Source organism: Homo sapiens, chromosome 1, assembly GCF_000001405.40.
Source record: "Homo sapiens chromosome 1, GRCh38.p14 Primary Assembly".
NCBI lineage: Eukaryota > Metazoa > Chordata > Mammalia > Primates > Hominidae > Homo > Homo sapiens.
In genome coordinates, this window is record NC_000001.11 from 30141781 (window position 1) to 30156658 (window position 14878).

Genomic DNA, 14878 nt, shown 5'->3' on the forward strand with positions numbered 1-14878 from the left:
TCCATGCAAGATGGACTGGACATGAGGCTTGGGGTCGAGGCAGGCAGAGGGCCTGTGATGTTGGGGGCTCTGGGCTGGGGGAGATGACCCTGAGCTATACGGGTGATGTTTGTTTTGTTCTGACTTAAGATGGAAATTCATTAAAACTACAAAAAAGCAATTAAAAATTGGAGGAGTAAACTCCAACTTCCATGATACAAGTAGAACCAAGGGTTGGGTGGCTGGGGTTACAACATGAGGTACCCCTATTTTGCCCAGGCTGGTCTCAAACTCCTGGGCTCAAGCAATCCTCCTGTCTCAGCCTCCCAAAGTGCTGGGATTATAGGTGCAAGCCATTGTGCCTGGTGATTACTGTAGTTTTATAGTAAGTTTTGAAGTCTGGAAGTATAAGAACTTTAATTTTGTTCTTTTTCAAAATTCTTGTGGCTATTCATGGCATTTCTGCAGCTGTAAATTGGGAATGTGACTGTTAAGCACTGAAGTGTGCCCCACCTCTGAAATCCATATGCTAAAGCCCTAGCCCACCCATACCTTATTTGGTAAGGTATGTGATCTTATTTGGAGATAGGGTCTTTACAGAAGTAATCAAGGTAAAATGAGGTTATTAGGGTGGGTCTTAATCCAACATGACCCTAACACAGTGTGTTAGTTCATTTTCACGCTGCTGATAAAGACATACTGGAAACTGGGACCAAAAAGAGCTTTAATTGGATTTACAGTTCCACATGGCTGGGGAGGCCTCAGAATCATGGCAAGAGGTGAAAGGGACTTCTTACATGGTGGTGGCAGGAGAAAAATGAGGAGGAAGCAAAAGCAGAAATCCCTGATAAACCCATAAGATCTCATGAGACTTATTCACTCTCATGAGAATAACATGGGAAAGACTGGCCACCATGATTCAGTTACCTCCCCTGGGAGGTTACCCCCCTGGGTCCCTCCCACAACATATGGGAATTCTGGGAGATACAATTCAAGTTGAGATTTGGGTGGGGACACAGCCAAACTACATCATTCCACCCCTGGCCCCTCCAAATCTCATGTCCTCATATTCCAAAACCAATCATGCCTTCCCAACAGTCCCCCAAAGTCTTAACTCATTTCAGCATTAACCCAAAAGTCCACAGTCCAAAGTCTCATCTGAGACAAGGCAAGTCCCTTCTGCCTATGAGCCTGTAAAATCAAAAGCAAGCTAGTTACTTCCTAGATACAATTGGGGTACAGGTATTTGGTAAATAGGCCATTCCAAATGGAAGAAATTGGCCAAAACAAAGGGGCTACAGGGCCCATGCAAGTCTGAAATCCAGCTGGGCAGTCAAATTTTAAAGCTCCAAAATTATCTCCTTTGACTCCATGTGTCACATCCAGGTCACACTGATGCAAGAAGTAGGTGCCCATGGTCTTGGGCAGCTCCCCTTCCATGGTTTTGCCAGGTACAGCCTCCCTCCTGGCTGCTTTCACAGGCTGGCATTGAGTGTCTGTGGTTTTCCCAGGTGTATGGTGCAAGCTGTTGGTGGATCTACCATTCTGGGGTCTGGAGGATAGTGGCCCTCTTTTCACAGCTCCACTAGGCAGTGCCCCAGAAGGGACTCTGTGTGGGGGCTCCAACTCCACATTTCCCTTCCTCACTGCCCTAGCAGAGGTTCTCCATGAGGACCCCACCCCTGCTACAAAATTTTGCCTGTGCATCCAGGCATTTCCATACATCTTCTGAAATCTAGGTGGAGGTTCCCAAACCTCAGTTCTTAGCTTGTGTGCACCTGAATGCTCAATGCCATGTGGAAGCTGCCAAGCCTTGGGGATTCCACCCTCTGAAGCTACAGCCCAAGCTGTACTTTGGCCCCTTTCACCCATGGCTGGAGTGGCTGGGACACAGGGCACCAAATCCATAGGCTCCACATAGCTCGGGGACCCTGGGCCTGGCCCACAAAACCACTTTTTCCTCCTGGGCCTCTGGGCCTGTGATGGGAGGGGCTGCCATGAAGCTCTCTGACATGGCCTGGAGACATTTTCCCTGTGGTCTTGGGGGTTAATATTAGGCTCCTTGCTACTTATGCAAACTTCTGCAGCCAGCTTGAATTACTCCCCAGAAAATGGGTTTCTGTTTTCTATTGCATAGTCAGGCTGCAAGTTTTCCAAACGTTTATGCTTTGCTTCCCTTATAAAACTGAATGCTTTTAACAGTACCCAAGTCACCTCTTGAATGCTTTTCTGCTTATAAGTTTCTTCTGTCAGATACCCTAAATCATCTTTCTTGAGTTCAAACTTCCACAAATCTCTAGGGCAGGGGCAAAATGCTACCAGTCTCTTTGCTAAAACATAACAAGAGTCACCTTTGCTCCAGTTCCCAACAAGTTCCTCATCTCCATCAGAGACCACCTCAGCCTGCACCTTATTATTCATATCATTATCAGCATTTTGGTCAAAGCCATTCAAAAAGTCTCTAGGAAGTTACAAAGTTTCCCACATTTTCATGTCTTCTTTGCAGCCCTCCAGACAGTTCCAACCTCTGCCTGTTACCCAGTTACAAAGTTGCTTCCACATTTTCGGATATCTTTTCCGTAACGCTCCATGTACTGCATTAGTTCGTCTTCATGCTGTTGATAAAGACATACCCGAACATGCGAGCAAAAAGAGGTTTAATTGGACTTACAGTTCCACATGGCTAGGGAGGCCTCAGAATCATGGCGGGAGGTGAAAAGAACTTCTTATATGGTGGTGGCGAGAGAAAAACGAGGATGAAGCAAAAGCAGAAACGCTGATAAACCCATCAAATCTTGTGAGACTTATTCACTATCAGAAGAATAGCATGGGAAAGACTGGACCCCATGATTAAATTACCTCCCTCTGGGTCCCTCCCACAACGTGTGGGAACTCTGGGAGGCACAATTCCAGTGGAGATTTGCGTGGGGACACAGCCAAGCCACATCACACAGGGTGTGGTAGGCTGTTTTTGCATTACTAAAAGGAATACCTGAGGCTGGGTAATGTATAAAGAAGAGAGGTTTACTTGGCTTGTGGTTCTGCAGGCTATACAGGAAGCATGGCACCAGCATCTGCTTTTGGTGAGGCCTCTGGAAGCTACAATCATAGTGGAAGGCAAAGGAGAGCCAGCATATCACATGGTGAGAGCGGGAGCAAGAGAGATGAGGAAGGCATCAGACATCTAAACAACCAGATCTCATGTGAACTCACTCATCACCAAGGAGATGGTGCTAAACCACTTATGAAGGATCCACCCCCATGATCCAATCACCTCCCACCTGGTTCCACCTTCTACAGTGTGAAGATCACATTTTAACATGAGATTTGGAGGGGACAAAACATCCAAACCATATCAACTGGTGTCCTCCTATAAAAGAGATTTTGCAGAGAGACATGCACACAGGGAGAGCACCATGTGATCATCAAAGCAGAGATCAGGGTGAGGCATCTCCAAGCAAAGGAACCCCAGATTGCCAGAAAAGGAGAGAGACCTGGAACAAGGTCTTCCTCAGAGCCTAGAGAAGGAATCAATTTTGCCAGCACCTTGATCTTGAATGTCTAGCCTCCTGCACTGTGAGATAATAAATTCCTGCTGTTTCAGATGCCCAGTTCGTGGCAGTTTGTTTGGGCAGCCATAGCAAACCATTACAGTTATTGCATTGGTCTATTTGAGATCCTATAAAAGAATACCAGAGGCTGCGTGGCTAGTAAACAATAAAAATTTATTTCTCACAGTTCTGGAGGGTGGGAAGTTCAAGATCAAGGTGCCCACAGATTCACTGTCTGGTGAGGGCCAGCTACCTAACTCATAGCCTTCTCACTGTGTCCTCACGTGGCAGAAGGGGCGAAGGAGCTCTCTGGGGTCTCTTTCAAAAGGGCACTAGTTATATGAATTTTAGAGGGACGTGAACATTCATTCTATAACAGTGGCTGAGTTAAAGTTCAGCAGGCAATGAGGAAAGGCATTCCAGGCAGAAGGAACAGCTGGCAAGAAGGTGAAGAGAGCAAGACAGTCAGTAACAGAAGAAGGCACTGGGAGCAATGGGGTGAACCATGAGGGTCTCCTGGACCTCGGTAGAGAGGAATGTCAGGACATGGCCTCATGTCTGTGCAGGGCACCTCTACCCATGGTATGAGAAGAAACCAAGGCAGGGAGGAAGCAGGGGCCAGGGGAGAGGCTGCTGCAGTGCTGCCAGGGGAGGGAGGATGGTGGCATGGGCCAGCGTGGGACAGTGCCGTGCAGTGGTGAGAGGGGCCAGACGCTGGACCCATGTTGAGAGAGGAGCTAGCAGGGTTAACTGGTGGGTTGGGTGTGGGCATGAGAGAAAAAGAGGAATCAGGGATGACTGCAAGACTTTTGGTCCAGGGTACTGTTGCAATGGAGTGGTCATTCACTAGGCAGGATAAATGAAATCTAAGTTCTGCAACATTAAAAGTCTGGTGACCTTTTAACCATTTGATTGGAGAGAGGAGAGGTGAATTTGGGGCAGGCTGCAAGGGACTCAGTTCCCCAGTTCAGCATGGCAGGGGTGATGAGCAGAGGAGGCACCAGGGTGGCAAGCCATAGACATTCTCCACACCTGACCCCCTGGTTACGCAATGAGAGGTCTGAAGGAGGGAGGAGGGGGGACCCTGGGCCTTGGTTCACAGAGACCTGGAGACTTAACAAGCTTTGCCAAAAGTAGCAACAACTTCTTGACCCTGAAAAGTGAGGAAGATAGAACCCCCCACGCCCAGGGCAAAGGAAATTATGTATTTTCTCTGAAGGTTTCGGGATGATGATCCCACGTTGGAGTTAAGGATTACCCAGCTCAGTTCCCCTGCCCCCCAACAAATGGCCACCCCCTTGAGATTCGTAAAGACCAGCAAGAGCAAAACGGGCGCCCCCCCACACACAGGAAATGCCTCTCTGATAAAGAGGATGAGCACAAGAGCGAAGAAAGGAGGAACCTGCCTCCCAAGAGGAATCGCCAAAGAACCAGAGGCAGAATGACAAAAACTCAGACTCAGAGAAAAGAGTCACAATTCAAAGAAGAATTATCCATGGAAGTTATAAAATGAGAGGAGAAAAATGAGCTAGTACATTGTAGGGGAGAAACAAAACAGATGAAAACATTAACAGAGATGAATGCCACATAAAACTCAACCCCAAGATGATAAATCATCGCTGGAAATTCCATCGGGGAAATGGAGAGGAAATTACTCAACTTAAAATGGGAAAGAATGAAGTTGTAATAACAAAAACAGTGAGGACAACGGACATGGAAGACAGAAAAGAAGATCTGGGATGTGCAGAGTGCTTCTGAAAAACAGAATACACAGAGAGAGTTTTTCACAGAACTCCAATATGTTCTCCTACATCAGGCTATTTTCACTGGGCACCCACTTTGTGGCAGGCACTGGACTAAGGGTGCAGAATCTAAGTGACCTTGGGAGGGCATAAGCAATTAAGCAGACAATTAGATTAAAATAGGGGAAATACGATTGATGCTAATTTAAAAACCAGAGGCAGGACTAGGTCCTATGGAGGAAAGACGATGACGTATTGAATGCCAACGATGCGTCAGACACTGTACATTGTTGTGTGTGACTAGAGGGTTGGGAGTGATGTGCGCATGACCAGCTAAGGATGGAGCCAGAATCTGAAGCCAGGTGTATCTGCTTCCAAGTTCATCCCTTTTTTCCTTGAACATGCTGCTTTCCAGTCTCACATAAGCTTGAAGATGCCTATCAGCTCTGTAAGTGAAAGTCCCACTGGTGATAAATCCCAGGTATTTTTCAGCAGGGTTAATTATGAGGGGTCTGGTTCTTACGGGGTGGGGGAATCGCTGAGAACCTGTGGGATGCACACAGGCTTGAAAGGCTTTGTCTAGCAATGGTTTCCTACACAGGTAGAAAGGGGCTTATAAGAAGAACAGCAAGCACATTTATTAAGCAAAGGTGTGTTCCAAGGCAAAGGCTATTGCAAGATGAACCATGGAGCATCCTTCAAGCCACAGGCTGGTGTTCAGGATGTGCTAAGAAGTCAGGACCACAGAACAATGGCAGAGGCCAGCAGTGAGAGAGAGCGGACAAGTGCCTGAGGAAAGGGGGAAACAAGTTTTTGGAGGAAGAGCATTTTGAAGTCCATCCTGTGTGGAAAATAAGTGAAATGCAGGCTGGGCACAGTGGCTCACACCTGTAATCCCAGCACTTTGGGAGGCCAAGCTGGGAGGATCCCCTGAGGTCAGGAGTTCCAGACCAGCCTGGCCAACATGGTGAAATCCCATCTCTACTAAAAATACAAAAATTAGCTGGACGTGGTGACACACACCTGTAATCCCAGCTACTCAGGAGGCTGAGACAGGAGAATTGCTTAGACCTGGGAGGCGGAGTTTGCAGTGAGCAGAGGATGCCACTGCACTCCGGTCTGTGTGACAGAGTGAGACTCTGTCTCAAAAAATATATATAGAGAGAGAAATGCAAACTGACTACCTTTGCTTTAAGTTGGCCTGAGAAGTCTCGCTGCCCCTGCTCAGATCATCTATTGTAGCTGTAAGCACAGAATATCCTATGTAAGAATGATCGTGCTGGAGATGCCAAGTGGCCGTACAAACATAATACCCAGTAGTGATCTGAGCCCAGCACTAAGCCTCTTCGTGTTTGTCCAAAGCTCTCTTCCTAAGGCTTTAGGTTATTTAGAACAACAGCAAAGGACTATTTACTTTTTGGTGGTACTCAGAAGATGCTTGCTTTTGGTACCCTCTGGGTGGCTTGCCTGGAACCCTGACCTATGATACACAGGTTCTCTGCCTGAGATCCATATCCCTGAATTCCACGCCCATTCCTAGGCTGGGAAGAAAAGCAGAGGAGAGAGCCTTGGGAGATCCCTTCAGAGTAGACTCATTGAAGGAGATAGAAAGAGGGTGGGCAGATGGAGCAGGGGAGTGCCAGTAGGGTGTGGGGGCAGAAGACAGGGAAGAGGGCTTGGAGGAAGCATCAAGTTCAAGAGTGAGGATTTGGTAATAAGAAGTCCTCAGTGAGAAGGCAGTTTCAGCAGCATGGTGGGGTCTGAAGCTGATTTACAAGGGGTTAAGGAGCAGGTGGGGGTTGAGCAGGTACAGCTTCCTGGGAAGCCCAAGCACGAGCATTTCTGCATCAGGCCTCCAAGCCCCCAACCCACCCCTGCCTGCATCTCTCAGGTCACTTGCTCCAGTGAGACAAACACGTCCCCCTCCCATTCCCTTTCCAACATAGCCTTCTTTGCACCCCTGTGCTAGAACAATCTCCTTCCCTCTCACCACCAAACCCTGTATTGAAATCCAGAATCTTAGTATTAGAAGAGACCCTAGAAGTCACCCAGTGATCAACTCCTTCATGTCATAGTTAAAGAAACTGAGGCCCAGAGAAGGGAGGTGACATGTACAACACCGTGACAGGAGCAAGAGAAGGACAGGGTGCATCAGTCACCTTCTCATAGTGCTGCTGCATGACAAACCAGTCCCAACTCCTGGCTTAACACCACAGTCATTTATTTTCACACTGTATGTGGCTGGCAGCTACGACTCTGCTGATTTTGGCTGGGCTCAGCTCGGCTTGGCTCCAGACCACAGGTTTGGTTCAGATCTGCTCCGTGAGTTTCTCATCCTTCTGAGACCAGCAGGCTATCCAGGGCATCAACTTTCATGGGGTTGGCAGAAGCTTAAGAGGGCAAACCCAGCCACACGCATTTAAAAACCTTTGCTTGAATCACATCTGCTAATATCTCATTGGCCAAGGTAAGCCCCGTGGCCAAGTCCAAAGTCAAGGAAATGGGAAATCAATTATGTGGCAAGAAGAAAGAATGAGAGGGATAAGGAACTGGGCCAGTGTTTCAGTAGGCCACCCTGAGTGAAGACTAAACCAGGTGTTTTGTCTTCTTGCTAGACCTCTTCCCCCATTCTTCCATACAGGCTCCAAGCAGTGGATTCAAGGTTTAAATAGCAAAGCTGCATTGGGAGAAATAGTTTTACTCAAGGGTTGCGTATAAAGCCAAACTTCCAGCCTTGCTAAGGCAATGGAAATAAGGACTCAGGAAACAGGGCTTTCACATAACCTTTCAGAAGAATCTACATGGAGACTTGAACCACTCAACTGAAAGAGAATTCAAAATGAAGAACTCACACTGCTAAAGCTGTAGTGTGGAAAGACTGGAAATACTGAATCATTTTAAACATGAAATTAAGTCAAACAATAATTATGGTTACAAAACCGGACATAATTTTTATGGCTCTTGAAAGAAAAGCTACACAATAGTAAATAATAATTTGATGATCATACACTGGAACAAAAATCCCACCAACAAATGAGAGGGATGGTACAGGAAATGAGGCAATGTGTCTTTATGTCTCTTCTTCCATGGTAGATAATCAATAGGCACAAAGCTGATCAGTCTAAACCCATGATTTAAAAGTATAAACATAAAATTTAAACCAGAGCACATACCAACCAAATTATAAAAGAAGGGAGGGTGGGGCCAGGCGAGGTGGCTCACGCCTGTAATCCCAGCACTTTGGGAGGCCGAGGCAGGCAGATCACGAGGTCAGGAGATGGGGACCATCCTGGCTAACACAGTGAGACCCCGTCTCTACTAAAAATACAAAAAATTAGCCAGGCGTGGTGGCGGGTGCCTGCAGTCCCAGCTACTCAGGAGGCTGAGGCAGGAGAATGGCGTGAACCTGGGAGGCAGAGTTTGCAGTGAGCCGAGATTGTGCCACTGCACTCCAGCCTGGGTGACAGAACAAGACTCTGTCTCGAAAAAACAAAAAAAGTGAGGGGGAAGGACAAATAAAAATAAATCATAAAGCAAATAAATGGCGAATGAAGCACCACAAAAGAATAAATTTTTTATATGGAAATTAGTGAGAGAAACACAACCTGAAATATCTGCTATAATGATAATTAGATACAAGATAAATAAAGCTGGTAATGTATTCTCTCACATTGGGTTAAAACATTTCTTATTTTTGTGTTCTCTGCCAGAAACACCCCTAATGATGGGCAAAAAGATAGAACAACAAAAAGCAACACCAGAAATGTAAAGAGTCTAATGTAAATAATGAATTCAAGGAAACAGAGATCAGGCCAGTGGGGGGAGAAATGAAACTAAATGGATAAAGAGGGTGGTATGGTTTGGATCTGTGTCCCCACCCAAATCTTATGTTCAACTGTAATCCCCACTGTCAAGGTGGGGCCTGGTGGTAGGTGATTGACTCATGGGAGTGGATCCTTCATGAATGGTTTAGCACCATCCCTTTGATGCTGTTTTCATGATAGAATTCTAATGTAATCTGGTTGTTTAAAAGTGTGTGGCACCTCTGCCACCCATCTTTTTCTTCCTCCTGTTATGTAAGTTGCCTGCTCCCACTTGGCCTCTATGAGTAAAAGCTCCCTGAGGCCTCCCCAGAAGCAGTGCCGCCACGCTTCCTGTACAGCCTGTGGGAGGGTGAGCCAATTAAATCTCTTTTCTTTATAAATTACCTAGTCTCAAGTATTTCTTTATAGCAGTGAAAGAATAGACTAATATGGAAAATTGGTACAAGGAGTGGGATATTGCTATAAAGATATCTGAAAATGTGGAAGTAATTTTGGAACTGAGAAATGGGCAGAGTTTGGAAGAGTGTGGAGGGTTCAGAAAACGATAGGAAGACGAGGGAAGGTTTGGAACTTCCTAGAGAGTTGTTGAAAGTTTGTGACCAAAATGCTGATAGTTTTACAAACAGTGAAGGCCAGGCTGAGGAGGTCTCAGATGGATATGAGGAACTTACTGGGAACTGGAGTTAAGGTCACTTTTGCTATGCTTTAGCAAAGAGCCTGGCTGCATTGTGCCCCTGATCTAGGGATCTGTGGAACTTTGAGCTTGAGAGTGTTGATTTAGGGTGTCTGGCGGAAGACATTTCTAAGCAGCAAAGCATTCAAGATGTGGCTTGGCTGCTTTGAACAGCCTATGCTTGTGTGCATGAGCAAAGCAATGACCTGAAACTTGAACGTATATTTAAAAGGGAAGTAGAGTATAAAAGTTTGGAAGATTTGTAGCCTGGCCATGTGGGGGGGTGGGGGGAAAGCCCATTTTCAGAGGAGGAATTCAAGCAGTCTGCAAAAATTTGCATAACTAAAAGAAAGGTAAGTGCTGATAGCCAAGACAATGGAGAGAAGGCCTTGAAGGCATTTCAGAGACCTTCACAACAGTCCTTACCATCACAGGCCCTGAGGCCTAGGAAGACAGAATGGTTTGTTGGCCAGGCTCAGGGCTCCAACTCCCTGTGCAGCCTCAGGACGCTGCTTCCTGCATCCCAGCTGCTCCAGCCCCAGCCATGGCTAGGAGGTGCCCAGGTACAGCTTGGCCACTGCTTTAGAGGGTGCAAGCTGTAAGCCTTGGCAGCCTCTCTGTGGTGATAAGCCTATAGGTACACAGAAGGCAAGAGTTGAGGGTTGGGAGTCTCTGCCTAGTTTTTGGAGGATGCATGGAAAAGCCTGAATGTCCAGACAGAAGCCTGCTGCAGGGGCAGAACCCTCATGGAGAACCTCTGCTAGGGCAGAGTGATGGGGAAATGTGGGGTTGGAGCCCTCACACAGAGTCCCCAATGGGGGACTGTCCAATGGAAGTGTGAGAAGAGGGCCACCATCCTCCAGACCCCAGAATGGTAGGTCCACAAGCAGCTTGCACATTGCACTTGGAAAACCACAGGCACCCAACACCAGCCCTTGAAAGCAACTGTGGGGGCTGACCCTTGCAAAGCCACAGAAGTGGAGCTGCTCAAGACCTTGAGAGCCCACCCCTTGCACCAAGTATGCCCTGGATGTGAGACATGGAGTCAAAGGGGATTCTTTTGGAGCTTTGAGATTTAATGACTGCCCTGCTGGGTTTCAGACTTGTGCAGGGCCTGTAGCCCCTTTCTTTTGGTTGATTTCTCCCTTTTGGAAAGAGTATTTATCCAATGCCTTTATTGCCATTGTATCTTGGAAGTAACTAACTTGCTTTTGATTTTACAGACTCATAGCGGGAGAGAATTGCCTTGTCTCGGATGACACTTTGGACTGTGGAGATTTGAGTTAATGCTGGAATGAGTGAAGACTTTGAGGGACTATTGGGAAGGCACAACTATATCTCGAAATGTGAGAAGGACATGAGATTTGGGAGGGGCCAGGGAAACAATGATGTGGTTTAGATCTACTTCCCCACCCAAATCTTATGTTCACTTGTAATCAGTGTTGGAGGTGGGGCCTGATGGGAGGTGATTGGATCATGGGGATCCTCCTTCATGAGAGAGGTGGTTGACACATGTTCAACCTTACCAGAAACCATAGAAATGCAAATTAAAATAATGATAAATCATCCATATTCTCATGCACAGCAGATGGAAGTATAAATTTTTGCAATGGTTTAGCCCCATCCCTTTGGTGCTGTTCTCATGATAGCGTTCTCATGGGATCTGGTTGTTTACCTCCCACTCCTCCCCTTGGTCCTGCTCCTGCCATGTAAGATGCCGGCTCCCACTTTGCCTTTCTCCATGAGTAAAAGCACCCTGAGGCCTCCCCAGAAGCAGATGCCACCATGCTTCCTGTATAGCCCGCAGAGCCATGAGCCAATTAAACCTCTTTTCTTTATAAATTATCCAGTCTCAGGTAGTTCTTTGTTACAGTGCAAGAATGGACTAATACAGAGGGCTACTTTTAAATTATATTAAGGATACAATCACAGTGAAGATAGAATGTCCTTTAATCAACTTGAACCAATGATATAAAGTTAAGATACAGTATATGAAATAATAGCTGAAGGAAATACAAAGAAAAATCCAACAGAAACATAGTATCAGTGGGAAACTGCCAGTCTTCCTCTGCTGGTAACATATCAAGAAGAAAGAACTAAGATTATTTGAGGCCATAAGTAGGATAATTAATGAGATTGATAGATTATTCTTTACACTGCAAACAAGAAATATATCTTTTAAAAATGTATGTCTATTAAATGGATCAAATATTATATCCCAAAGAAAATGCCAATAAACTTCAATATGTGGAAACAGCACTCTCCACATTCTCTGACTGAGGTTATTGTGCAGATTCGTAGGGTGTACAGAGTGTCAATGAAAAGAGTCAAAGTCTGTAAAATATTTGAAGAGATTTATTCTGAGCCAAATATGAGTGGCCACGGTCCATGACACAGCCCTCAGGAAGTCCTGAGAGCATCCGCCCAAAGCAGTCAGGGTGCAGCTTGGTTTTATACATTTTAGAGAGTCATGAGACATCAATCAAATACATTTGTGAAATACATTAGTTTGGTCCAGAAGGGTGGGACAATTCAAAGCAGGGGGACTTCCAGGCTATAGGTAAATTTAAACATTTCCTGGTTGACAATTGGTTGAGTTTATCTGAAGACCTGAAGATCAATAGAAAGGAAATGTTCAGGTTAAGATAAAAGATTGTAGAGACCAAGGTTCTTTTGAAGTCTCATAGTGGCTGCCCATAGAGACAATAGATGACAAATGCTTCCTATTCAGACCTTTAAAAGGTGCTAGACTCTTAGTTAATCTCTTCAGGATTGGGAGGGCCTGGAAGAAAAAGCTCTACCTATGTTAATAGAGATTCTTTACAGATGTAAATTTTCCCCACGAAGGACAGCTTTGCAGGGTCATTTCAAAATGTGGAAAAGAAACATGTTTTGGGGTAAAATATTTTGATTTTCTTCTTTGTCACATCATGTTACACCAGAGTCAGATTGGAAAGTAAGTCACAATATACAGGGTTAAATAAAACCCATCTGAGGAGAACTTATGGTTTGTATGGCATGACTCCCTAGACCCCTTAGATAGGAATTTGGACAAGATAAGAAAAAAAATCAGAGCTTAGTCCTTAGAGAGAGGATAAATAAGGTAGACACTTATTCATACAATTGTCTTAAATTTGTATGGAAGAGTGACTATGTGAGAATAGATAGGAAAAGTCCTACAGAAGAAATTAAATCAAAGCAGATATTGATAGACTTGAGAAATGAGTCACAGTAATTGAAAAGCTTATCAACGCAAGAGATGCAGGGCACGATTTTCAAAACAACAGAGCAGACAAATAATGAAGAATCAAAAAACACACTCAAATATGTGCGTATGTTAAGTACATAGACAGACATGCAAATTAAATGTGTATGTTTCAACTCAAGGGAAAGATTAGTCATTGAATGTGAATTGTGACAACTGGCCTGGCTCTGTGAAACACAAAAAATAGAATTGAAGCTTCTGATAGAAGATTATTTCTTTTTTAAATTTCAAATAAATACCCATTTTAATAACACATATGGGCATAATTCCTTATTTTATATATATATTGTTTTTATTATACTTTAAGTTCTGGGCTACATGTGCAGAACATGCAGGTTTGTTACATAGGTATACATGTGCCATGGTGGTTTGCTGCACCCATCAACCCGTCATCTACATTAGGTATTTCTTCTAATGCTATCCCTCCCCTAGCCCCCCATCACCCAATAGGCCCGTGTGTGTGATGTTCCCCTCCCTGTGTCCATGTGTTTTCATTGTTCAATTCCCACTTATGAGTGAGAACATGCAGTGTTTGGTTTTCTCTTCCTGTGTTAGTTTGCTGAGAATGATGGTTTCCCGCTTCATTAATGTCCCTGCAAAGGACATGAACTCATCCTTTTTTATGGCTGCATAGTATTCCATGGTGTATATGTGCCACATTTTCTTTACCCAGTCTACCATGGATGGGCACTTGGGTTGGTTCCAAGTCTTTGCTATTGTGAATAGTGCCGCAATAAAAATACATGTGCATGTGTCTGTATAGTAGAATGATTTATAATCCTTTGGGTATATACCCAGTAATGGGATGGCTGGGTCAAATGGTATTTCTGGTTCTAGATCCTTGAGGAATCACCACACTGTCTTCCACAATGGTTGAACTAATGTACACCCCCACCAATAGTGTAATAGTGTTCCTATTTCTCCACATCCTCTCCAGCATCTGTTGTTTCCTGACTTTTTAATGATCGCCATTCTAACTGGCATGAGATGGTGTCTCATTGTGGTTTTGATTTGCATTTCTCTAATGACCAGTGATGATGAGCTTTTTTTCATATGTTTTTTGGCCACATAAATGTCATCTTTTGAGAAGTGTCTGTTCACACCCTTCGCTCACTTTTTGTTGGGGTTGTTTTTTTCTTGTAAATTTGGTGAAGTTCCTTGTAGATCCTGGATATTAGCCCTTTGTCAGATGGATAGATTGCAAAAATTTTCTCCCATTTTGTGGGTTGCCTGTTTGCTCTGATGATAGTTTCTTTTGCTGTGCAGAAGCTCTTTAATTTAATTAGATCCCATTTGTCAATTTTGGGTTTTGTTGCCATTACTTTTGGTGCTTTAGTCATTAAGTTTTGCCCATGCCTACGTCCTGAATGGTATTGCCTAGGTTTTCTTCTAGGGTTTTTATGGTTTTAGATCTTACATTTAAGTCTTTAATCCATCTTGAGTTAATTTTTTTATAAGGTAAGGAATGGGTCCAGTTTCAGTTTTCTGCATATGGCTAGCCAGTTTTCCCAACACCATTTATTAAATAGGGAATCCTTTCCCCATTGCTTGTTTTTGTCAGGTTTGTCAAACACTAGATGGTTATAGATGTGTGGAGTTATTTCTGAGGCCTCTGTCCTGTTCCATTGGTCTATATATCTGTTTTGGTACCAGCACCATGCTGTTTTGGTTACTGTAGCCTTGTAGTGTAGTTTGAAGTCAGGTAGCATGATGCCTACAGCTTCATTGTTTTTGCTTAGGATTGTCTTGGCTATACCAGCTCTTTTTTGGTTCCTTATGAAATTTAAAGTAGTTTTTTCTACTTATGTGAAGAAGGTCAATGGTAGCTTGATAGGGATAGCATT

At 44.7% G+C, this 14878-nt stretch overlaps 1 annotated feature.

Moving 5' to 3' along the window:
- Positions 12040 to 12853: an enhancer, noted in NCBI's record as "OCT4-NANOG hESC enhancer chr1:30626667-30627480 (GRCh37/hg19 assembly coordinates)". NCBI's record gives its function as "activates a minimal SCP1, AML or CMV promoter by ChIP-STARR-seq in naive and primed H9 embryonic stem cells {active_cell/tissue: H9 hESC(naive and primed)}" and the evidence as "EXISTENCE:reporter gene assay evidence [ECO:0000049][PMID:30033119]".